We start from the raw sequence: 25,919 nt of genomic DNA, 5'->3' as shown, positions 1-25,919 counted from the left end.
AACAGTAGGCCTCAATATTTGGACCTATTGATACAGAGCCAAACGCCCACCACTTAATCTACAGCAACAGGAAAATAGAGAAGTTGTTGATTTTTGCACATCTTTCCTTTATAAACTTGCAGAAACTTCCATAATTTGCATGCCTTTTACCCATAAGCTTGACTGCATCTAGAAAAACAAATCAAAGCAGTAATGTTGATGTTTTAGTTACTGTTCCTGTATTGTTTATCTCTTCCGTTGTGGCCTGAATCTTACTACTACTTTCTCTGTTGCCTTCTGTTTTCTTAGTGTGTGGTGGGTCTCTTCCAAATACTCCTGAAGGAAACTTTACTTCTCCTGGCTATGACGGAGTCAGGAATTACTCAAGAAACCTGAACTGCGAATGGACTCTCAGCAATCCAAATCAGGGAAATTCATCCATTTCCATTCACTTTGAAGATTTTTACCTAGAAAGTCACCAAGACTGTCAATTTGATGTCCTCGAGTTTCGAGTGGGTGAGTTCTATCTAAGAATGCGTTTTCCCATTTATCTACAATATTCTTTTTATCTTTTTTGTTGTTGTCGCTGCTGTTGTTGTTGTTTTGAGACAGGAGCTTGCTCTCTTGCCCGGACTGGAGTGCAGTGGTGTGATCATAACTCACTGCAGCCTCAACCTCCCAGGCTCAGGTGATCCTCTTGCCTCAGTCCCCCAAGTGGCTTGGACTACAGGTGTACATCACCACATACAACTAATTATTAAAATTTTTTGTAGAGATGGGGTCTCCCTATGTTGTCCAGGCTGGTCTCAAACTCCTGGCCTCAAGTGATCCTCCCTCTTTGGCCTCCCAAAGTGCTGGGGTTACAGGCATGAGCCACCACGGCTGGCCTACAATATTCTTCATATGCTTGGAGACTACTAACAATGAAGGGAGTCAAATGGCTCTAACATAGGTACACACGATCCAAAAGAACTCTGTTCGAAGCCATAATTCTGTGTGTGCCCAGCTGAGGAAAACGAACCCCAGGAACAGTGAGTGAGGCGGATCACTGTACAACTAGACTCTGTGTTACAGTCACTTCGTTTCCCGGCATGTGACTTTTGCCGAAGCGAGAGTCCACTACTATCAAGACTCCTTTCCAAGGAGACTGGGACTTAGCATGCTCAGCATGTGTTGGCAGTTTCCTGAACTTCCAGGATTTATGAAGGGGCTGTGAAATTCTCCTGAGGCCTTAGGAGTTAAAAGAAGTTTTGCAATATACCAGATGGAGAAACACATGGAAGCTATTTGGGGAAATAACCCCAAAGCAGTCATTTGTCTTGGTTTTCGTGATGGAAAAGGATTGCGGTGTACTCAATAAACCATAATTCTCTTAAGAATTTTTAAAACTCTGTATTCAAAGAGGATGAATCAATTTTCTTTCTTTCCCATAGTCAAGGTGTAGGTTATTCATTAGGTTGCTTCCATGATTATGCTGACACGTTTTTCTCAGTAAATAAACAAGTAGATAGAGGAAGACAATAATATTGTAAATAGTACGTAATCATCCATACTGTAAAAGTTTTGCTGAGTTCTGTGTAATCCCAAAATTTAAAGAAAAGGAGGCTGAAAGCAGCAGAAGCTCATCAGTTAGTTGGTGGAGAAGTCCTTGGGAAACTGAGAGGTCAATGTTAATTACCTTTGAGAACGTGAGCGACAGAATTTTCAGGAAGGAGAATTTGATAGAGCCTGTACCCACGGGCCAAGGGCCTCAGCCAGAGAGTCCTCCAACCTCTCTGAGGCTGAAGAGTCTAAAAAGGCTTATAAGGGAAAGGGAAGTTGTGGTTTGAGAATGTTCTCCATGGAATTCTGATAAACCCTCACCCCCTCTGCCTGTTTCAAAACCACCGGCTTGTGGTCTTAAGCAGAACAGCTGTATCTCAAATTTCAGTCAGCTAAATGCTGTCTTCTCTTTATTTGCTCAGGTTTAGAGGCAGTTAAAATACTATATATCATTGATTTAGAAGACCAGTGATGTTTATCTGACAGAATAAAAAGAAAGCAGATAAATGAGAGCTCTGTTGGTGCTCTGTACATGTTCATCAAACCCACGAAATGTAATCTTCATGAAAAATATTAGGCTCAGATCTGACAGCTCTTGGCCTGAATGCCGAATATGGAGTCCATTTCAGTTGATTGAATATAGTGAAGAAATCTTTCAAATTTTAGGCAATGATCACTTTATCTTGAGGATATATTTTATCACTGTTGGTATTATATTTCTTACACCCTACAAAAGGTGTGTCCAAAAGTGCTATTTTAATTCATTGTATCTCTGTTTAGATATGCTGAAATAACTATGAAAACACAAATTGGAACAAAATGGTGTCCATCATAGAGGTTCATTTCAAAATTGCTTTGATTTTTTTGTGTTTGTTTTACCCCCTTGGAGGGACTTTCTGTTGCAGTTAACAGAGACACACAAATATTGTGCAATGTCTGCTACTAAATCAGAATTTAAGTGTGTGTCAATGAATATCTTGAAATTTGTTTTTATCAAATTCATTGAATGTATTTCTCAAAAGCTGTATCAATGATGGCACTTGGTATATTATTTTGTTCAGGTGATGCTGATGGGCCCCTGATGTGGAGACTTTGTGGTCCTTCAAAGCCTACATTGCCATTGGTTATACCTTATTCTCAGGTATGGATTCACTTTGTCACCAACGAACGTGTAGAACACATTGGATTCCATGCAAAGTATTCCTTTACAGGTAAGAATTATAATTAAGATCTTGATAAAATTACTTATAAAGATTAATGATTTTTTTCCATAAAGATTTCATATATATTTTGTTAGATTTATTTCTACATAGCTATTAGTTTTGTTAATATTATCAATGAGATTTTCTAAATTACATTTTTTAATTGGTTGTGGCTGATATCTAGAAATTTTATAATTTGCATAATTTAAAATTATTATTTAATTTTAAAATTATTCAATAATAAACTGCATAATTTTAAAATTATTAAATTTTAAAATTATCCAATAATTATTTAATAATTAATAATAATAAATAATTATTAATAATAATTATTATTTAATAATTTTAAAATTATTTTGTAATTTGCATAATTATTATAAATTTTATAATTTTGCATACATGTAACTTTAGTCCAAAGATCTAGCTATCCTCTTATTAGTTTTAATATGTTGTCTATAGATTCTCTTTGATCTTTCTGTGTAAACTTCTGCAAATGTTAGTTCTTTATGCTTTCAGTCATAATACAGAATTTCATTTTCTTGCATCCTTTTGCTAGCTAGGGCCACCATCGAATATTGAACAGAAGGAATGATAGCATCTTGTTTCTGACCTGGATGTGACTATGACATTTTATTATTAAATATATTGGTTGCTCTTAAGTTTCCAATAAATATCTTTTGTTAAAGAAAGTCCCTTCCATCCTTAGTGTGAAAAAGCTTTTTTTAAATGTAAATGGGCATAGGATTTTATCAGATGATTTTCTGCATCCATTGAGATGATTCAACTTTTTCTCCTTTCATAAGTTAATGTGATGAATTATATGAAAGATTTATTTCTCTTGGTAAACCATCCTTGCATTTCTGGGATAAATCCTATTTTGTCATGATGTGTGTTTTATACATATAATGGGTATTATTTGCTAGTGTTTTGTGTTGGATTTGCATATGCAACATTCAGAGTTTGTGCTGGAAAACCCAGCCCTACTCTTGACTGCTTCCCTTGGCAATGGGAGGTTTTCTAGTCCCTTTTCACGAGCATGCCAGTTTGTTTAGATTCCCAACTTCTTGTAAAAGTCTCAATTCCAGTCCTGCCTTCTGTGGAGACCCAGAGCCCTATCTTCTCCTCCTACCCAGTCATCAAAACCTCAGAGCCCAACCCTGGGACCCAAACCTGCATTCTTTACCCTCTCAGACTTCACTCTTTCACTTTCACTCCTCTCACTTTGAGTACACTTACTGCTTCTAGATTTTGGGGAGCTGCTTTTCTTTCCATTGAGTTTGCTATGAATCAAAATATGTTTTAGTTATGGTTTTATCTAACATTCCTTTGTGTTATAACCAAATGGCTGGTTGAAGAAGGAGTGAAATTGATTATCTACTCACTCAACCATCTTGCCAGTTGATTTTCCTTCATCAGATTCAAAGAAGAGTCAGGTTTCAGTAAACAGTATTATTTGTATTGAACATCAGACCATATTATTCTTCAGAAATGTATTTTTTTTTCAATTTTCAATTTTCTATGCTAATACCGTATGGAATTTTGTTATTCCTAAACTTTTACCCAATTTTACTTTTCTTCTATTTAATTTCATTTATTTTATACATATATATACATAAAATATACATACACAAAAAAATACAAAATATATATATACAAATATATATACTATATATACACAAATATATATGTACTATATATATACAAATATATATATACTATATATACAAATATATATAGTATATATATACATATATATACTATATATATAAATATATATACTATATATACAAATATATATACTATATATAGTATATACAAATATATATATACTATATATAGTGTGTATATATATACTATATATGGTGTGTGTGTGTATATATATATACTATATATGGTGTGTGTGTATATATATACCCTATATATGGTGTGTGTATATATATATATACACACTATATATGGTGTGTGTGTATATATATACTATATATGGTGTATATATATACACACTATATATGGTGTATATATATATATACTATATATGGTGTGTGTGTGTGTGTGTATATATATATATATATATATATATATATACTATATATGGTGTATATATATAATATGGTTTTTTTTTGAGATAGAGTCTTGTTCTGTCACCCTGACTGGAGTGCAATGGCATGACCTCGGTTCACTACAGCCTCCACCTTCTGATTCAAGCGATTCTCCTGCCTCAGCCTCCTGAATACCTGGGATTACAGGCAGACGCCACCAAGCCCAGCTAATTTTTGTATTTTTAGTTGAGATGGGGTTTCACCATGTTGGCCAGGCTGGTCTTGAGCTCCTGACCTCGGGTGATTTGCCCACTTCGGCCTCCCAAAGTGCTGGTATTACTGGCGTGAGCCACCATGCCTGGCCTTACTATGTTTTTAATCACAAAATCTGATGGTTATGATTACTACTTACTTTGGCATTATCGGTTCTTTTTTTTACTTCTGTTTTATTGAGAGGGTTACCAATCTCATTTCAGATTGTGGCGGAATACAGATAGGTGACAGTGGAGTGATCACAAGCCCCAACTATCCAAATGCTTATGACAGCCTGACCCACTGCTCTTCGCTGTTGGAGGCCCCACAAGGGCACACCATCACTGTGAGTGCTAATGACTGGGTGAAATGCTTCTGAGACAATAGAACCACAATAGCCTGTCCTGCATGAAAATGGAGCTCTTTTATTAAGCAAGTGATTAGAGAAGGCTTTGATTCTACAATGAGATCACTGTTTTTCCCTAACATTTTCTCACTAGAGCACATACATTGGCATTTATTATTCATGAAGAGTGAAATCTCTTTTTTAAGCATAGGGAAAGATATACACAGAAGATAATTCTGCGTCTTAGAGAGAAGTGTATTCAGTTTCTTAATATGTGTTGCCATCCCAAACCAGGGAAATGTCTTTTCTCAAAATTTCCAAGAGAACCTTCAATAAGGAAAAAAAAGTAGAGGGGAAGGGAGAATTAAATAAGAGACAAAAATACAAATTATAAAAATAAAAACAAAATTAAACGATTTGTAAGGGCCTTATCTTCGTAACAGTTGATAAAAGCTCACTGACAACCATTTTCTTTTTTCTCCTGCAGCTCACATTTAGTGACTTTGATATTGAACCCCATACAACTTGTGCTTGGGACTCTGTCACTGTCAGGAATGGTGGGTCCCCTGAATCACCCATCATAGGACAATACTGTGGAAATTCAAACCCCAGGACAATACAGTCAGGTTCCAATCAGCTGGTCGTGACTTTTAACTCAGACCATTCATTGCAAGGTGGTGGATTTTATGCTACGTGGAACACACAAACTTTAGGTAAAAGAAATGTTTGCTCCATTTGATTTTCTTTTTAGTGATGTATAGTATGAACTCATAATATGTACATTTTGTACCTACTTTACATCAGGCTTAGTTCTAAATATTTGCACATGTCATCTCATGCAGCAACCCTGGTGGGATAACACAATATCAATACCTGGCATCTCTATTTTGCATGGGCAGAGACTGAGGAAGCATGGGTTGATCATTTGCCTAGATACATAGCCGATAATTGGTAGAGTCGGGATTTGAATAAAGGCAATTCAGTCCAGAAACTTTGATCTCAACACTTCATGATGCTGCCTTCATCGGCAAAAGGGTATGGCACAACCTGGGAATCTCAAGTAATAGAAACATGAGTTGGAATCCCAAGTGCTTGAAAATATCTGGAGCCTAAAAGCAGAATGCTGAGTGGTGAGCTGAGGGCAGGAAAATAAGTCCACAACATAAAGAGCCTTGGTTTATATGTTATCCCTTGAACAATGGGAAACTGTTGAAGAGTTTTGAAAACGAAGGTGACAAGATGAGATTTGTAATTTAGAACAAATGCTGTAGTGAATGGGTCCTGAGTCAAAATATGACAGATTTCATTTTAAAAGAATAGTTTTTGTGCATAGAAAGTATAAACATTGTGAAAATTCTCAGAAAATACAAGGACTTGTATCACATACTTTATTAGGGATTTCTGTAAATCTTGTATATCACACAAGACAATTATTTCTGGTAGAGTCACAGTTATTATGAAGCTCTTTGTTGACTGAGTCAGACTTCCCCTGGTTAACAACCACTGGCTGTTATTGAAGTGAGAAGGGAGTTTTAGGTGAATCCCTGATTTCCAGGGGTTTCACAGCAAAAGATTCGGAGAATGCCTCTTTAACTTCATTTTGTTTTGTATGAAAATTCTAGATTTTTCTTCCTTTGAATCTACATAATTAATTTTGATCCATCAGTCAGTTTCAATATGAATCAATCAGATTGCTTAATAAAAGAATTTTCCCCAACTCAAAATCACTTTCTCTAGTCCAGTTAGAGTAACGTTGCAAATGGAGTGTAGAGTAATATTCTCATGTGTGAATGGTAATAAAATACAGAACTTAGCATTGCCAGGTTACATATACTACATAGGCTCAAAGAGAATAAAAATACAGCTCTTGTTTGGAGACAGGATGGAAATCTATCCTCTCTATGGCACGGATTAGTGTTCTTGGTTGAATTCAATATCATTGTAACACAACTGTAACAGCTGAAATTTTCTCTCAATTTAACTCACCTTTCCATTTATGGAGAGAGCTTGCTGTGCACCTGACTGGAAGATGATCACTTGTAAAAAATGATGAATTGAAATCTCACATTTGGAAATGTTCCTTCTGTAGCAGTCTTGAGTTTCCAAAATTACTTTCCTTGCTGATTGATGGCTTTTTACATGGCAATATTTCAGGTTGTGGTGGAATATTTCATTCTGATAATGGTACAATCAGATCCCCTCACTGGCCTCAGAATTTTCCCGAAAACAGCAGATGTTCCTGGACGGCCATTACTCACAAAAGTAAACACTTGGAGATCAGCTTTGACAACAACTTCCTAATCCCCAGCGGTGATGGACAATGTCAGAATAGCTTCGTGAAGGTTAGTACACTTGTTCATTTAATTGGAGCCAAGTTGGTTTTGTGAACATTAGTGTTTAAGCTAGAAATGATTCATTGTCGCTCAAAGTAAGAAAATTTTGCTGCCTGGATTCCTTGGATGAAAAGTGAGAAAGTGAGAAACCTCAACTGTTAGGAGCTAGAATTTCTTTTCTTTCTTACTTTTCTAATAGATCCTAAAGGGAAAAATGCCCTTTATAATATAGGGCACTACCACAGGCAAAATTTAAAGCATGCCACAAAAATTACGGAACGTTGAAGGAGCAGCTAATGCCAGCCTTCACCTTGGGCATTAAGACCCCACAGTCTGAAAAAACCGTGAGAAAGCCATGTAAAAATGATGGGAATGGGGCATCAGGAGAGCAAAGCTCTTTCAAAATCTAAAGTTATAAATGCTGCTCGTGTGGCAGTGGCTTGTCACTTTCCACTGACTTGTGACTATGATGACTGTCTTAGAAATTCATTTCATCTGTACTGTTTTGCATCTTCCAAGTTATATCTCTAAAAGTCTGTGACTTTTAGAGAAAGAGTGCCTTATTTCCACTGTGCCTTTCCAGTGGAAATAACACTGGTCACGTTAGCCCCTCCATTCATGTCTGTCATACCTACCACCTGCATGTTCTTCTCTGAGCTACTTAAACAATTGGCCTTTAAGTTATTCAACTGTAGAATGAAGAGCATGATTCCTTCTTCAGTGGGGCTGTTTTAAGCATTGGAGATAATACGATGTAATAACATAGGTAGTGCTAAGTACTTGGAATTTAAAGTCACTTGATGAGTCAAAGTGGCTTTTATTGTCAGTGTTATTACTTCCTATCAACTCTCAAATGATGTTTTATATCTCATTGACCCATGCTTACTGTTTAAATGAAAATCTCATATGTGTATAACATATATATATATATATATATACATATAATAAAATACATTTAATATACACTTTTCTTAATGGCTTTTTCCATGAACTAAATGAACTCTCTTCTCATGAAATGAATCAATATCAAGTATTCAGACTTAAGTAAAACTTTCAAGTGCTCCAGTTGTAAAACTGGAATGTGGAAAATGGCCTAGGCTCATTCCTTCTCTGGATTGAATGGGGGTCCCTCTGATAACATCGGGCAAGCCCAACGCTGCTGCCGAGTGGGATGTATTAGGAACCCTGCCAAAAATAAGTGGCCGTGGGAAGCACTCGTCTTCTCCTAATGGGCCCGAGATGCTTGTTTCTGCCAAGAAATGCTGTGTGGGTGGACGGAACCAGTAAAGGGACCCAGCTTCGGCAAGCAGCCCCCGCAGGAAGCCACTTAACACCTGTAAAGCTGAGATTCTCTTTACCCACCCAGAGACACCAGGGTAGGTGGGACTGGAAAAATGGGTCCCAGTCACAGAAAGGGGCCAGTCTGGGAAGCCTCTTTGTCCCCACAGGCCAGACCTGCTCCTCTTCCACCCAGAGACATTGAGGTACCCGGGGGTATTGGTAGGGGAAAATTACTATACCCTTTGCCTTCAACTGAGAAACACACAGAGTCCCTCAGGTAGCACCAGCAAGAACCAGTGAGAGCCCCGGTAGCACCAATGTAAACCAAGCAGACCAGAATTCCACCACACAGATTCTGAATATTGAAGAGCAACTGGAACTGTAACCCACAAAATGTGCAAGGCACGTGGTAAACATAAACAGGGTGACAGCCTGCTAAAATAAAAGATTTGAATAGGACCCAAAGTTCCCTAACATAATAAATGACATGTCCTGGGTACAATCAGAAAGAACACGTTGTATCAGGAATCAAGAACATCACAACTTGAAAGAGAAAAGAATCAAGTGATGTCAACAGTGAGATAAATCAGATGTTGAAATATATGACAAGGATGTTGAAGTAGTTTCCATTAACATGCTTCAACAATCACTGACGAGCTCTCTTGAAACAAATAGAAAATATCAGCAAAAAAACAATGGTTACAATAAAGAACTAAATAGAAATTATAGAACTGAAAAATACACTAACATAAATAAAGAACATGCTGAATAGGCTCAATAGTAGCATGGAGATGACAGAGAATAGAATCAGTGAACTTGAAGATAGAACAATAGAATTCACCCAGTCTGCACAATAAAGAGAAAATAGACTGAAAAAACAAACAAACTAGATCAACACAGACTTAGGGACTCATGGACAGTAACAAAAGATTCAACATTCTCTCAAAGGGAGAGGAGAGAGTGCAGCTGAAAGAACAATCAAAGAACTAGTGGCTGTAAACTTTCCCAAATTTGGCAAAAGAGACACACCTATAGGTTCAAGAAGCTGAGTGAACCTAAACCAAGATAAACACAAAGAAATGTAAGTTCAGACATATCTTAATTAAACTTCTGAACACTGAAGGCAAACAAAAAGTCTTGAAAGCAGTCAGAGAGAATTGGGACATTACCTAGAGAGGAAGACCAGTTAGAATAAAAGCAGATTTCTCATCTGAAACCATGGAGGCCCTAATGAATTGACAATATATTCTTCAAGTGCTGAAACAAAGGAATTGTCAACCATACATTTTATATCTGGAAAACTATCTTTCAGGAGTAAAGAGGAAATAAAAACTTCTCATATGAAGGTAAACTAAACAAAATTATCACTAGGAAACCTACCATTAAAGATGGTCAAACAGAAGTTCTTCAAACAAAAATGAAATTATTAAAGAACCGTGGAGCATGAGAAAAGAAAAAGGAAAGTGGAAAAAGCAAAAATATGTGTACATACAATAGAATATCCTTTTCCCCATAAAGCTTGTGAATCATATTTAATAAAACAAGAAATTATAATGCCCTCTGTTATTCAGTATAATGATATGGAAAAGTTGAAAGGGGACCTAAATGGAAATCACATTTCCACAAGTGGTCAGATGTGGATGGTGGTAGACTACTATAATCACATAGGCACATTGTCACACACAGAACAACCACTACCAAAACTGTGTGAAGAAATGTACAGAAAAACGCTAATATCAATCAAAATGGAATCCCCAAGATATCAAGAAAAGAGAAATAGAGGACCAAAAAGCAGATAAAGTAAACAGAAATTATATAATAAAATGTAGACACAGAACTGATATATATCAGTATAATTGTAAATAGTTTAGTTAGACCAATCACAATACAGGTTATCAAGCCAAAACATGATCTAAGTGATAATAAACTGATTTCCAATTCAACCACGTAGGTACATGAAAAGTAAAAGGATGGAAAAGGATGTCATGCAAAGGTTAACCAAAAAAGCAGGAGTGGATATATTTATATCTGATGAAGTAGACTTTAGAGTACAGAAAATTACAACAGAAAAAGAGGAATCTTACATAATGATAAAAGGATCAATCCACCAGGAAGACATAATGATCCTCCTAAATGTGTATGCACCAAACAACAGAGGCACAAAATACATAAAGCAATAACTGATAGAGCTAAGAAGAGAAGTAGACAAATCTTCGGTTATAGCTGAGGACTTCAACACTCTCCTCTCAGTAATTGATAGAACAACTAGACAGATAATTGACAAGGATATAGAAGAACTCTACAAAACCATCAGTTAATAGGATCTGATTGACATATATATGTGTGTGTGTGTGTGTATATATATGTGTGTGTGTGTGTGTGTGTATAAATATATATATGTAAAATACACCACACAGCAACATCAGAATACACAATTTTTTAGGAACTCTTGTAACATTCCAAGGTAGATCATATCCTGAGACATGGAAAAACCTCAACCAAGTCAAGGAATTGAAATACAGAGTGTGTTCTTTGAGTATATTAAAACTGAACTAAAAAACAGTAACAGAATATCTTATTAAGCACTGAGCTGAGCTGGAGAGAACTGAGCTGCCAATTGTTGGAGCAGCTAATTAAAACAACAGGCCAAAATGTAAGTAACAGTCCTGTCTTTCATCATTTTCTGCTGTGGTGTAAGAGGCCAAACAGGAGAAAGCTCTGTCTCCCTCAATCGTCCATTCTTTCCCATGGGAAGTGCCTGGTAAGGATCAGATGGATCAGTGTAGATATAGAAATGGTCTCATTGCCAAGTAAGCCCCAAACAAATATGTGCAGGATCTGAGTGCTAAAAATAATGAAATGCTGGCATAAACCTAAATGAAAGAGACAATTATATTTATGAATTGGAAGACTCAACATAGTAAAGATGTCCCTTCTCCCCAAAATGATGGATAGGTTTAATGCAATTCCTATCAAATTTTCTCCAAAGTCTTTTGTAGGCATAGACAACTTTTTCCACAACTTATATGAAGGCAGAGACCCTTCAATGGCTAAAAGAATCTTGGAAAAGAAGAATAAAATGGGAGGAAGAATTCTACCTTACTATTTACCTAGGCTTACTTATCTAAGTTACAGTAATCAAGACAATGTGGTATTGGTTGAAAACCCAGATGAAAACAGAGAACCTAGAAATACACTCACACAAACATCCTCAATTGATTTTTGACAAAGGTGCAAAAACTTTCCAATGTAGGAAGAATGGTTTTTTCAACAAATGGTACTAGAGCAATTGAACATCCACAGGCAAAAAATATGAATCTCAACCTAAACCTCATTATTTTGTAGAAAACCTCACTCAAAATAGATGATAGACTGAAAAGTAAAATATAAAACTTCTAGAGAAAAAAAAATAGCAGATGTCTTCAGGACCTGGAGATAGGCAAAGAGGTCTTAGATTAAACAACAAAAGAATGATTCATAAGAGAAAAAATAAAATGATAAATTTTACCCCATTTAAATTAAAAATCTTATGCCATGTGAAATATTTTCATCCAGTCTGTAGCCAGTCTGTTCATTTTCTTCACATAGGCAATGTACTACTATGTAAAATATATAAAGAAGTCTCAAACTCAAGAGTAAAATACAAACAGTTCTATTAGAATATGGACAAAAGACATGGGCAGATAGTCCACCAAAGAGACTCTACAGATGATAAATACCAGAAAAGATGTTCAACGTCATTAACTTCTGGAGAAGTATGAATTAAAACCACAGTGAGCTATCACTACACACCTATTCGAAGACAAATATTTACCAATTGCATAATATTTACCAATTGCACTCTGGGCATTTATCCGAGAGAAATGAAAACTATGTTTACACAAAAACTTGTTTACGAATCTATATAAATAGCACCTTTATTTGTAATAGCTGAAACCAGCACTAAGGCCTTTCAACAGGTGAATGGTTAAACAAATTGTGGTACTTGCTTACCGTGGAATGTAACTCCTGAATAAAAACAAACTATTTATAGATTAACAATCTGGACAAATCACTGAGGGATTATGCCAAGTGAAAAAAGGCAGCCTCCAAAGATTACATACTCTGCTGTTCCATTTATATAATATTTTGAAATGATAGTGTTTTAGAAATGGAAAGCAGAGAGCCAGAGGTTAGAGAGAAGGCAATGTAGGAGTAAATTGTGTGTGGTTATAAACAACAAAAGCAACTTAGGGATTCCTGTGGTATTGGAATTTCAGTATCTTGAATGCAATTGTGTACAACTTGTATATAACTTAATACACACACACACACACACACACACACACGAGTTCAAGTAAAACTAGGAAACTGAGTAAAATTGGTGTTATGTCAATGCCAGTAACCTGGTTGTGATAGTATACTACAGTTTTGCAAGATGTCAGTATTGGAGGAACTCAGAAATGTGTACAAGGAATTTCTCCATATTATATCTTACAAATGTATGTGAATCTGCAATTATGTCTGTAAACATTTGTTTAAAAAATAGTTGAATGATAAAATATAACCTACAACCTGACTGAATTATATAGAACACTAAGAAAAATCAGAAAGTTTTTGACCTGATGACAGTTAAGTAACATTTTGTAGGTTCAATATAGTTTTGATGAGTCCTCTGTCATATAGCCAATGAAATGAGTTCTTGATAGGCAAGGCAGAAATGAATATTGAATAACTCTTTACCATTGTCATCACCATTATCATCATTATTATTAAACTTATGTTCCCAGGCCAAAAGGTAGAGTTGTCGAATCTATAATTAATGACTTCAGAAAAGTATAAGCACTTAAGCATTCTTGGATTCCTTCATTAAAGAACTTGAGGCTCTTTATTAAGTTTTAGCCCTTCTTACTTTGCCTGTTTAGTAATGTTTGTAAAAATATAGTATATGGCCCAGGCATGGTGGCTTATGCCTGTAATCCCAGCACTTTTGGAGGCCAAGACAGGCAGATCAGTTGAGTCCAGGAGTTTGAGACCAGGCTGGGCAACACGGGAAAACCCCATCTCTGCAAAAAAATACAAAAAACTAGCCAGGCATGGTTGCACGCACCTGTAGTCCCAGCTACTTGGGAGGCTGAGGTGGGAAGATCACCTGAGTCCAGAAGGTCGAGGCTGCGGTGAGCTGTGATTGTGCCACTGCGCTCCAGCCTGAGTGAGAGTGAGACTGTCTCAAAAAAATACATATATATATAAAATATATATACAGATTATCTATTGATAAATTGTGTTTATAATTTTATGAAATGTGGATAAAAAACTGCCATATACTGTTTCCTTGGATATATTATTAGGGGGAAATCTAATTAGAGATCATTAAGTAAAATTGAGTAGGTGCATTTTTTTTCCTGACATTTTTATTGATCTTAGGCATTTGGCAGAATATCTGCACTTTTGTTCTCAGTAGGTCCAGCGCCAGGCACCTCCCTTATCTAATAAATGGCTAATATAATTTGTCTTCAGTAGGATGACTAACAGCTGGATACCCAGTGCTTAAAAATCAATTGAAACAATACGGCTTTAAAGAGCTGAGAATTATTAAACCAATGCTATGAATCAGTGCTATTTCACATCTCTTGCTATGGACTGATTTCCCAATAGAAATGTTTTTAATGACTTGATGTTTTATTGCTGTGGGTGAGGAATATCCTTGAGAAGAGATGTGTTTGGAATGAGTAATTTGGTATCATTCCATGTGAAGAAAATGTTGAATAGTCAAGTAAGATTAATACACATCCAACTACATCCTTGTTTGAGATAGTTGTCTGTTGATAGAAAGGGCATATTGGGTATTGCAGATTGTGTAGCAATAGTCCTGGCCCCTACCCACTAGATACTACCCATCACACCGAGTGTGACAATAGAAAAATGACTACAAACCTTGCCAGAGGTCCCAAAATTGCTCCTAGTTGAGACCTCTGAACTAGGACGAGCTTCTCTGGTTAATATGTTTAATGTTTTTGGGGTTTTTTTCCCCCAAGTTTTGTATATTCATTACCTAATATGCATACTTTCCTTGAGTGACTCAGCATTGTAGATAACCATGATCTCTCACCTGAACTAGGGCAAAACCTACCTGACTGTTTTCCGGCATCCTTTCTGACTCCTATTTTCCGAATTGTAATGTTTTCCAAAAACCAATCTTCTTGGTGGCTCCTTGCTGTATTCAGGACAGTGGCCCGAGTCTCTAACGTGTCCTGCAGCCCCCTCTGCAGGCTTCCTCACCCCTTCCTCCTTGGTTTTCTCTCTCTTCTCTGAACTAGCCACGGCCTTTCCTGCCATCGGGGTTCGCTCGGGGCAGGCTCACTTCCCCCAGTTAGGTAAAGCCACCAATTATATATTCTCAACAGCCCCATCATAATGCCTTGTTTATAGCTGGAATTTTGCATGTAAATTTATGATTCTGTGATTCATGTCTCTGTTTTTCCCTGGACTGATAAGAATTGGTTTGATTTGGAATTTTGGTGCTCACCGTTTATTTCCTAGCAACTGTTTTTTGCATGAGTATATAAATTCAGTCATTCGAGGTGGCCAGACCAATTAAGTGACAGCCCAGGTCTACTTGGGAGTTGCCAACCAAATTTTTGGTGAATAGCACACACTGACTGGATGTCAGCTTTTCATCAAAATGGACCCTACAATTCCACACAGCCAAGAAGTGTTCTGATTTATTCCATTTCATGCTGATTATACGTATACTTGGAATTCATGCCCACTTTCTTCATGCACCACGATGTGCCTCTTGCTTGCTGGTGTTGTCCAGCTGTGACCACAATCTGCTATCTTCCCAGGAGCAGGGCTGAGTTCCACCTGGCTGCTCCGTCTCCCTCAGCACCCGGGAAGCTCGGCTAGGTCAGGGCAACTAGAAGTTATGAGGAAACCGAACAGTGATCCAGGAAGGTGGATTTTTAAAAAATCACCACCCAGCTATGCAAAAAGGAACACCATCTCCTTAGAGAAGTCAAGAATGGGACATGCTATTTTAAAAACAGCTTTAAAAAAATTATTCTCAAAAGAAAATACTACAGATTTGTCCATGTTTTGTTTACTCTTATGCTTAGTTCTGTATACGTGTGAGTGCCATTATTTTGAAACCTAAGTGCATTAAAATATTGATGGGAAACCCTTGAGCATTAAAGTTCTGTGTATGTCCGTGCTAGGTGTGGGCAGGAACTGAGGAGGTGGACAAAGCCCTGCTAGCCACTGGCTGTGGGAACGTGGCTCCGGGTCCCGTTATCACACCAAGTAACACATTCACTGCCGTCTTCCAGTCTCAGGAGGCACCAGCTCAGGGCTTCTCCGCGTCCTTTGTTAGCCGTAAGTAGCCCTAAGAACCAAACCCAGAGGTCTTTGCGGGAGTGTGGTTGTCACAGGCAGGCAGGGTTGGCTAAACCTGGGGGTCTAGGGGAGGAGTATGGGGGTCTACGGGGAGGATGAGTCACCTAATCCCAAGAAGACACCTTTCTTCCAAATAGCAGTGAGAACAGAACTGAATTGAGAAGTGATATAAAAGCCATGAGGGGCACTAACCAACGTCTAGAAATAAGCCTGGCATCCAGAGTGGGCTGATATTGGGCAGAAGCGCAGATGGCTAGTTCGTTAGCAACAACCAGTGTGGCTGGCCTGTGGCACCTTGACCACAAAATCCCGTGGGGGGCTTGAAACACATGCAGATTCCTGAGCCTCACTCCAGGCCCAACTGAATTCAGAATTTCCATGACGAAGTCTTTCCTGTTTTTTTTTTTTTTTTTTGACACGGCGTCTCACTCTGTCGCCAGGCTGGAGTGCAGTGGTGCAATCTCGGCTCACTGCACCCTCCACGTCCTGGGTTCACGCCATTCTCCTGCAACCTCCACCTCCTGGGTTCAAGCTATTCTCCTGCCTTAGCCTGCCGAGTAGCTGGGACTACAGGTGTGTGCCACCATGCCCAGCTAATTTTTTTTTTTTTGTATTTTTAGTAGAGACGGGGTTTCACCATGTTGGCCAGGATGATCTTGATCTCTTGACCTCGTGAACCGCCCGCCTCGGCCTCCCAAAGTGCTGGCATAAGCCACCGTGCCCGGCCGGTCTTGCATGTTTTAACTGTCATCCAGAGGGTTCTCATGCTAAGTCAACTTTGGGAGCCAGTTTCTTTGGGAATGTTCTTTCCTAATTTTGATTAGGAAGGATGGATCTCCTTTTCTAGCTATTGTACACTATTAGATTCGTGGGAAATGTAGCATTTTTCAAGTCAGAGAAGCAATGGTGTGTGCCTGTTGGCTGAGTTAAATCAAGTGTAGCCACTCATGGCAAACCACTGTTTAGGGAAAAGTTTGAGGAAAGGAATTAGAGGAAGTAATACAGTAGACAGGTTTTTCAGACTGAATCAGAGAGTGCTGGAAAGGAAGTACTGAAAGACAACCCTAGACCAAATCTTAGGTCTGCAGGTGGTTCACTGTGTAAGTGTGCACGTGTGTACTTGTGTGTGTTTTAATGTCAATTTAAAAGGATAGAGATATTTTCGTGCTTGATAGATCAGAGAGTGAAGTGGATTAACTAGTCAATGGTTATATGAAAACAAATCATTTTAGTGGTGAAAAGATATTTCTTTCTGTTTCGAAAACCAGGGATGCATGTAAGAATTTGATAAGAGTTGGGATTAATAAATCCAGCTAGTTTTAAAAAGCAACCATTGTTGTGGCTAGATTACAATGGTAATGAAAATAGCAGTTTTCTAATAATAAGACATTTTAAAAACATTAATTGTGTAAAGTACTAATCAGATACAAATCATTTTTTATCTGTTTTATTTCTTTATCTGCATGAACCATATTCTATCATTGCTCGTTTATCCTTTCTTAATATCTTAATATTAAGGGATTTGCAGTAGATTTGTGGTAATATTACGAGGACTCAGTCCATAAAACTCTGCAGCATTTTCTAAAAATGTATAATATTCTTATTAAGCACATATGTATGTTTTTAAATCAGAGCTTTATTCTCTTCATTCTTGCTTCTTCCATTTGGAATATCTCAGGGAACTATGTCTATAGATAATTTAGGAAAATGCCTCTTTCCTTCATGGACAAAATAGATACACGAGAAATAAATGATCTGATGATGACTTTTTGTTCCCACATAGGATGTGGAAGTAATTTCACTGGCCCTTCAGGTTACATCATTTCTCCAAATTACCCAAAACAATATGACAACAACATGAATTGCACCTATGTCATAGAGGCTAATCCTCTGTCAGTGGTCCTCTTGACTTTTGTGTCCTTCCACTTAGAAGGTAAGTTTATTCTTTTAAAAAAATTACGTTTAATTGACAAACAAAAATTGTATATTTATGGTGTACAACATGTTTTGACATATGTACATGTTGTAGAGTGGCTAAATCCAGTTAATTAACATGTCTGCTCACTCACTTACTTAGCACTTTTTGTGGGGAGAGCATTTAAAACCTCTCTTAGCAATTTTTAAGTATTCGGCAAGTAATCAAGTATTTCAGGTATTCAACCTTGTTATTCGCTATTGGCACCATGTTGTACAGTAGATCTCCTGAACTTATTCCTCCTAGCTGAAATTTTGTATCCTGTGACCAATATATCCTAAATCTCCACTCCCACATACCCTACCAGCCTCTGGTAACCACCATTCTACTCTCTGCTTCTATGAGTTCGACATTTTTAGATTCCACATCCAAGTGAGATCATGCAATGTTTGCCTTTCTGTGTGTAGCTTATTTCACTTAGCATAATGTCCTCCAGGTTCATCCATGTTGTCACAAATGACAAGATTTTATTCTTTTTTAAGGCCAAAGAGTATTCCATTGTGTATATCTACCACATTTTCTTTATCCATTCATTCACTGGTGGACACTCAGGTCCATTCCATGTCTTGGCCATTATGAATCATGCTGCAATGAACACGACAGTATAGATAATCTCTTGGACACGCTGATTTGATTTCCTTTGGATCTATGCCCAGAAATGAACTTGGTGGATCATATGGTAGTTCTATTTTTAATGTTTTGGGAAACTGCCATGCATTTTTCCATAATGGCTGCACTAATTTACATTCCCATCAAAAGTGTACGAGGAAGAGTTCCCTTTTCTCCACATCCTTGCCAAAACTTATCTCTTGTCTTTTGATAATAGCCTTGGAAGATAAGTTCATTCTTAAGTAAACTCTAATTGGTTCTTCAGAAATGAATGAGGAGTAAGTAGAGGCAGAAGTCTAAAACTCACCATTTAAAGAAAATATTGAAAATATGTTACAGAGTAGATTTAATGTAAACGTGATTAAAATTTCATCCAATTTTTAAAGAATACAAGTATTATTCTATGTATTCCATCTAGAAGTAAAAAAATAGTGACAGAACTTTAACAACACAAGTATTGCATAAATTGCTTAAAGAAAATAAGTCTGAAATGTTTCATGTTAACATAGCTTTTAATTTATTCACTTGCATTTAAAGTTTATAGACATACGTGTGCACACACACACCCACATTCATGCACACACTATTAACCAAACCAGTGAGAGAAACTGTCTTATTGAGTCAACATAGGTGTTCGACAAATATTGAATAAGTAAGTAAATTAATAAAATTAATATAGGCTGGGCACGGTGGCTCACGCCTATAATCCCAGCACTTTGGGAGGCCAAGGTGGGCAGATCACCTGAGGTCGGGAGTTCGAGACCAGCCTGACCAACATGGAGAAACCCTGTCCCTGTTAAAAATACAAAATTAGCCAGGTGTGGTGGCACATGCCTGTAATCCCAGCTACTCGGGAGGCTGAGGCAGGAGAATCGCTTGAACCCAGGAGGCGGAAGTTGCGGTGAGCCTAGATCATGCCATTGCACTCCAGCCTGGGCGACAAGAGCGAAACTCTGTCTCAAAAAGAAAAAATTAATATATGTGCCCTGCTTTTAGTAAATACTACCATTGGGCGTTCTTTCTTCTGCTCCATCTCGGTCATCTTCATCTTCTCAGTCCTGACTCTTCAGTGCCTGAGTTCCTGGCCACAAGTGCCCTCTGTGTTCATTCTCCCACTCTAGGGAATGGGCCGTTGGCAGAGGGAACAGTAGAGATGCCGATTTGGGCTGGGCTTTGACTGACAATAGACACCACTTGGTGTTTAATGGAGGCTTTCACACAGTGGAAAGGAAATTCCTTCAAATAGATGGGTATTTTCAACCACTCATAACCATATTAATTTTCTTGTTACATATCAGCTTTCTATTTCTAAACCACAATTTATCTGCAGATTTGTCAAGCTACCTCGGTATATTCGAAATTTCTTACTCTTGGGTTAGTCTCTCATGGCAGTGAAAAGTTACACTTTGCAAAATGTTCTATAGCATTCAACATCTGGGAAATGTATGGTTTATAAAAATGACATGTCAGAACTCATAAATGGATAAATTTAACAAAGCTTGTCTCACTTAATCCTTTTTCCTATGACCTCACTGCCTTTTCATACATCTCTGCAGTTGTAATTTTCAGCACATGTGTTTGCTTAAAAAAATGCCAAGTGTAAATCAATGTATGTCACTGTAAAAATGGAATATAAAGTAAAGTGTCATCTTTTCAGCATTTGCTAGCCCAAAATCCCAGTACCATAAAAAGATGCCCATGATATATGAAGGCTTGAGGGAGGGTAAAATAGTTTGTATAAGATGATCCAATTTTCTTTCTAAAATAATGTGTGTGAATAAAATCTATAAGGCTATTAACCAGTACATTAAGAGTTGTCACCACTGTGTGATAGATTTATTCGAGATGCTTATTTTCTTCTTTATAGCTTTTATGTTATTTTTATAATTAGGACAATTATTTTAATAGCAGGGGAACAACATGTGGCTTGGATTTTGTGTTTGTGGTCATTAAGTTAAATAAACAGTGCATCTCACAAGACCGTATCACTCAGACTAAGAAAGGAGACTCTAGTAATTGTACTATAAAGCCACAGAAAGCAATGCTGATACCAGTGGTATATGTATTATTATAAGAGACTCTATCATGACCTGAGACAGCTCCCTGAGCTCAGTTATCAGGTGAGAAAAAGGGGAGCAGCCCTGGAATATCTCAGTATAGTACAGGGAAAGTGAGCACAGCATTTAGGATGGATCTTAATGCCAGGTCAGCCACTTACTGCTATTCAAGTGACTTTGTGCAAATTACTTCACCTTTATTTCTGATACTTATATATATATAGCACTTTGCTATATATGTGTGTATGTGTGTGTCTAATATATATTTATTATATATGTATAATAGTAGTTCTGAAAGTCAGATAATGTTAGATTGATTTCTGCTTCCGCTAATGGATTTGCCAATCCTCACTCAGTTGAAGACTGATTCTTTTCTAAGATGGTATCCTTACAACAATGCCTTGTGACATTTCCAGTGTTTAAGTGTTCAGCATTTTCAAACTGCTGCCTGAGTAATTTCTGGCTATAGATTCATCTAATTATGATGATTCCCCAAAAGGGTGACTTTAATCAAATTTATTTTATAATTAGCTTCTTATCCTTAACCATATCAATGCTGACATTTATTGAATACCATCACCGAGCTACAGATTCGCTAGCTACAGTAAAAGTAACCTTTCCCCAGCCCTTCTAAAGTGAGCCTGAGGGATTCATGTGCAATATATTGGGATGAAACCGAGGATTGCTCTGAAGGAAGGTCATAGCTTTATTGAGGGAGCCTTGGCCTTTCTAGCTGCTATAGGCACTTGGAACTGTTTCTGAGAGACTCTGTTCAAATGGCTAAGCATTTCTGAGCCCAGGATCCCAGCAGAGCCAGTGTTGACTTAGGTGGTGATGAAGGTTCTAGATCTGTCATCTTGGTGGACCATTAGCACAAAAGGTGGGATTGGCAAGGAAAAGATGTGGTATCCCAGGCTACAAAATACTGTGAGGAAACACACTTGTCCCTATATGGCGTCTACTAAACATTGACACCTGCTTAGGGAGGGTTTTACCATGAAGGGAAAAATACAGATTGTTGAACCACACTCAACTCTTAGGTTACAAAGGCTCAGTGACCTACTTTCCGCTTACCACAAAGTAAGTTGCTCCAAGTTTAATGTTGGTCTAAATTTCTCTAACTTTCTCATTACTTTTACATTTCCAGTACTAGACATTCCATGAACTACAGACCATTGATGTTTGTCCTCATTTTGGAATCTGGTATTATTAAATAACTGCTTATTTTATTTTCCCAAATATTAAACAGTCCAAAATTTTGTGTTCTCATTATTCATGTGGCCAACTAGAAGCCCTCAATCTGCTAAAAAAAAAAAAAATTATAGATCCAGTTTTCTTACTTCATAGATAAAGCACTTCTTGAGGCAAAATGAAGCAAGCCAGTGCCTTCTAAACCTTGATTATTCTTTCATTAAAATTAGATAGTAGGCCGGGCATGGTGGCTCACGCCTGTAATTCCCCCACTTTGGGAGGCCGAGGTGGGCGGATCATGAGGTCAGGGGGTCGAGAACATCCTGGCTAACACGGTGAAACCTTGTCTCTACTAAACAAAATGCAAAAAATTAGCCGGGCGTGGTGGCGGGCCCCTGTAGTCCCAGCTACTCGGGAAGCTGAAGCAGGAGAATGGCGTGAACCCGGGAGGCGGAGCTTGCAGTGAGCCAAGATTGCGCTACTGCCCTCCAGCCTGGACAACAGAGCAAGACTCTGTCTCAAAATAAATAAATACATAAATAAAATTTAAAAAATGAAAAAAATTGGGTAGTAACATTAATTCACCTTGGTGATAATGAGGAATTTAGAAATTCTCAATTTAAAAATTCTACACGCCGTAAACTGTAAACTCAGTGTTTCTCAGATCCAGTAATTCTTGACAAGCATTGGAGGGTGCAGCAGCGCTTAGCTCGTGAGGTGGAAACACCAAAGGGACAAATGCCTTTGCTTGTTGTCCTCTAGAGATGGCTTCAAAGCCCCAACAGGAGTGGGCCCAGATTCACACCTAATATTTGCCTAAATTCTCTTGGATTAACTGAAGTCCCAGTTTATGGGTTATATCTAATAGAAAGCTTAAAGAAAAAAAGTAAAAAAAAATTAGTTTTAGATTTTTCTTTTTGACATTTTTTTCCCCATCAAGAAGCACAATAAATGAGCTTTGTCAGTTTTCTTTATTTCCTCCTATTTAAATTTTTTAAAAACTGGTATTGCTCAACTGCTGTTTCTTCTCTTTGCTTTCTCAGTTGTTTCTAAAGAACTCAGAATGTGGTCGCATTCCACATTACTTTAGAAAAAAGTGGGCAGTGGTCCTTTTGAAATGTTTCCTATTGATATTTTATTCAACTGGCAGAGCACTGGAGCAGATGGTGTAGTTTCTGTGAAATCCCTTGTTTGCCTGTGTTACACTCCAATTTGCTTTAATTTGTTTGGCCTTCGTGCGCAATGGAACTTAGCTGTATACTAGTACATGCTTCCCCCTCCTCTGAATCATGCCTCCGTAGAGGAGACCAGTCTCCCAGCTACTCAGGGTAAAGTTAACAAGACAGATGATAGGTCTCAGTCACTGCTGCCTGGTAATTCATGTGCCTCTGCCTAGAACCCATTTCTTTCTTCCTTCCTTCCTTTCTTTTTCTTTCTTTCTTCCTTTCCTTTCCTTTCCTTCCTTCCTTCTTTTTCCTTCCTTCCTTTCTTTTCTTTTCTTTTCTTCACAGAGTCTTGCTCTGTTGCCCAGGCTGGACTACAGTGGTGCGATCTCAGCTCACTGCAACCTCCGCTTCCCAGGTTCAAGCAATTCTCATGGCTCAGCCTCCCGAGTAGCTGGGATTACAGGCACCAGACACCATGCCCAGCTAATAATTGTATTTTTAGTAGAGGTGGGGTTTCACCTTGTTGGCCGGGCTGGTCTCAAACTCCTGACCTCAAGTGATCTGCCTGCCTCGGCCTCCCAAAGTGTTGGGATTACAGGTGTGAGCCACTGTGCCTGGCCCCTAGAACCCATTTCTATTTCCTGAAAATACTTGATCTTATCTACAACATGGAAATATCCCAAACAAAGGGTTTTCCCTCATCTCTAGTCCTCTTTGGTGTCTCGGCCCACGCCCTCCCCCCACTTTGGAGAAAAACTGTGGTCCAACTCTAAATCCCACAAGTTTATTCTATTTGTGGAATTACTCATCCTTAGTTTTCCTTCAGTTCTCTCATAGTTCTTAGAACTATGATGAAGTTTGGAATTAGACATTGCCCAGTAATAAATCCCGGAAAAATAGAACAAAAAATTAAATTTTACTGCATGGTATAGAGCCTTGCCCATTGCAAACGATGAATATGTTTTAAAGTTTTTAGGAAGGATGGAAAATAGTCATAAAAACAAATGATAGGGAATCGTTTTGCAGCTCAGAGATTTCAGTAGTAAATGTCTATCAAATCACTTGTTGAAGACAGAGTTAAGAATTACTGAGTTCCCGGTCCCATGACGTGGACTCTAGTCCACGGAGAAAGTATTGTTCAATTTCAGGGTGCTTCTCTTCCTCACAAGTTCGCATATGTCTGATCGAATGCTGCCTCTTGGTCATAAACTCAACTGTGATATCCATCTTGCTTCTTGAAGAAGTTTTTCCAAACCTCAACTAAGTTTCCTTCTCTCCCTAGAAGACAGTCACCCCAATTATGAGAGTGTTGTGTATATTTTGATTATACATACAATTGGCTCTTCCAATAATGATGAGAAAGTGTTTAATATAATTATTTTCTGATGCCTTTAGTCTGTCACCAACACCTTCTCACTGAAGAATCAGGCTGATATTTTTGATCTAATGCAGTGATGGGATATATAGAACTTTAGAATATGATATATGTGTGTAAAGTACTTAATGTCTAGTGACACACATATCCATTTTCTTGCATATTACTTTGTTGATGTTAATTTTTTATATTTTCTTAGACTTTAGCTAATTTTACCAGCTTCTAATATTATGTACATGTTTGATTTCTTTTGGAGAGAATTTGAAAGGGCATAACATCCTACCTTAAACAAACGACTACTAGAAAGGATACAAGAATGTTTTAATCCATGAAATAAGTTGCCAGATATTATAATTTCTACATTTTACTGAATTAGGCTTTGAGAAGCAGACTGTCTTACATAATTTGTTTAGTTAGTTGATATTCTATTGCCATCTACAAAAAATCTAAAATCCCTTGTCAACTTCCTCTGCATTTCCCCAACAAACTTCCTTATTGTTCAATACAGACATTTAATAAATTGTTGATGAGTTTTGATTATGTCTCGTACCACTGCCATTTCATGAATGAACTTTCTGTATTTCAACTAGTTCCTTTAATCAACTATTTGTCAACATAATCAAGTATAAGTGACACTATACCTTATGTTTCACAGCCTTTTCACTGTTTTCTAAGACAACTGCCACTGTGATCATTTATATCATTAGCCCACAACTTAACAACTAACTCTTTAATACCTAACACATGCATAGCAGCCTATTTGATCAAATGTGGGACCAAGATTTCAATCCAGCATCAGCAATTTTTCCCTACATTCTGTGATTTTGGTTTTATAACTTGATATATTGTTGCTAAATAATTTCTATAACTAATGCACAATTTTTTTATTCTCAAACTCATCTACTTTGAATTTTTTAAAATTCCAGTGGAGCTTTTGATGTCTTAAAGACAAATACTGAGGTTATAACTAAGGTACATAATTTGGCAATATTCAAACCATGAATCTGAGTTTAACTTATTTCTTTTTTGTCCTCTTTTTCCACATCATATTGCTTCTAATTACATGAAAAGGCCATTGAAGTTCAGTCTTTCACTCTTTCAACTTATAGATTTATGCCCAATTAGAAATATTTCTATTCCAGCATTTTCAAAATAAGGGAATTCTTTGAGGTTAATTTAAAAATGTATATCTTGAATT

General features: G+C 37.4%; 1 protein-coding gene across 5 annotated transcripts in view, besides 3 other annotated features; it reads left to right on the top strand.

The window, feature by feature from the left end:
* CUBN (cubilin) overlaps positions 1-25,919 on the top strand; it is a 305,846-nt gene that overhangs the window by 223,114 nt on the left and 56,813 nt on the right. For 4 of the 5 annotated variants that reach the window (NM_001081.4, XM_011519710.3, XM_011519709.3 and 1 more), the window contains 7 exons: positions 289-495; positions 2,583-2,732; positions 5,239-5,360; positions 5,848-6,073; positions 7,515-7,702; positions 16,171-16,327; positions 18,132-18,281. In NM_001081.4, coding sequence (NP_001072.2) covers positions 289-495; positions 2,583-2,732; positions 5,239-5,360; positions 5,848-6,073; positions 7,515-7,702; positions 16,171-16,327; positions 18,132-18,281 — 1,200 coding nt within the window. Of the gene's footprint in view, positions 1-288; positions 496-2,582; positions 2,733-5,238; positions 5,361-5,847; positions 6,074-7,514; positions 7,703-10,286; positions 10,533-16,170; positions 16,328-18,131; positions 18,282-25,919 lie in introns of those variants that run through there. The other variant, XM_011519708.3, reaches the window with a different exon arrangement.
* Positions 5,020-5,737: an enhancer, noted in NCBI's record as "OCT4-NANOG hESC enhancer chr10:16942960-16943677 (GRCh37/hg19 assembly coordinates)". NCBI's record gives its function as "activates a minimal SCP1, AML or CMV promoter by ChIP-STARR-seq in primed H9 embryonic stem cells {active_cell/tissue: H9 hESC(primed)}" and the evidence as "EXISTENCE:reporter gene assay evidence [ECO:0000049][PMID:30033119]".
* Positions 14,228-15,427: an enhancer, noted in NCBI's record as "MED14-independent group 3 enhancer chr10:16933270-16934469 (GRCh37/hg19 assembly coordinates)". NCBI's record gives its function as "activates an origin of replication core promoter dependent on BRD2, BRD4, P300/CBP and CDK7 cofactors, and independent of MED14, by STARR-seq in HCT116 cells {active_cell/tissue: HCT116}" and the evidence as "EXISTENCE:reporter gene assay evidence [ECO:0000049][PMID:35650434]".
* Positions 18,902-19,102: a silencer, noted in NCBI's record as "peak882 fragment used in MPRA reporter construct". NCBI's record gives its function as "represses an SCP1 promoter by STARR-seq MPRAs in K562 erythroleukemia cells {active_cell/tissue: K562}" and the evidence as "EXISTENCE:reporter gene assay evidence [ECO:0000049][PMID:32103011]".

This window comes from Homo sapiens, chromosome 10, assembly GCF_000001405.40.
Source record: "Homo sapiens chromosome 10, GRCh38.p14 Primary Assembly".
NCBI lineage: Eukaryota > Metazoa > Chordata > Mammalia > Primates > Hominidae > Homo > Homo sapiens.
Note: the sequence above shows the minus strand (reverse complement) of the source record. Positions and strands in the feature narration are given on the sequence as shown.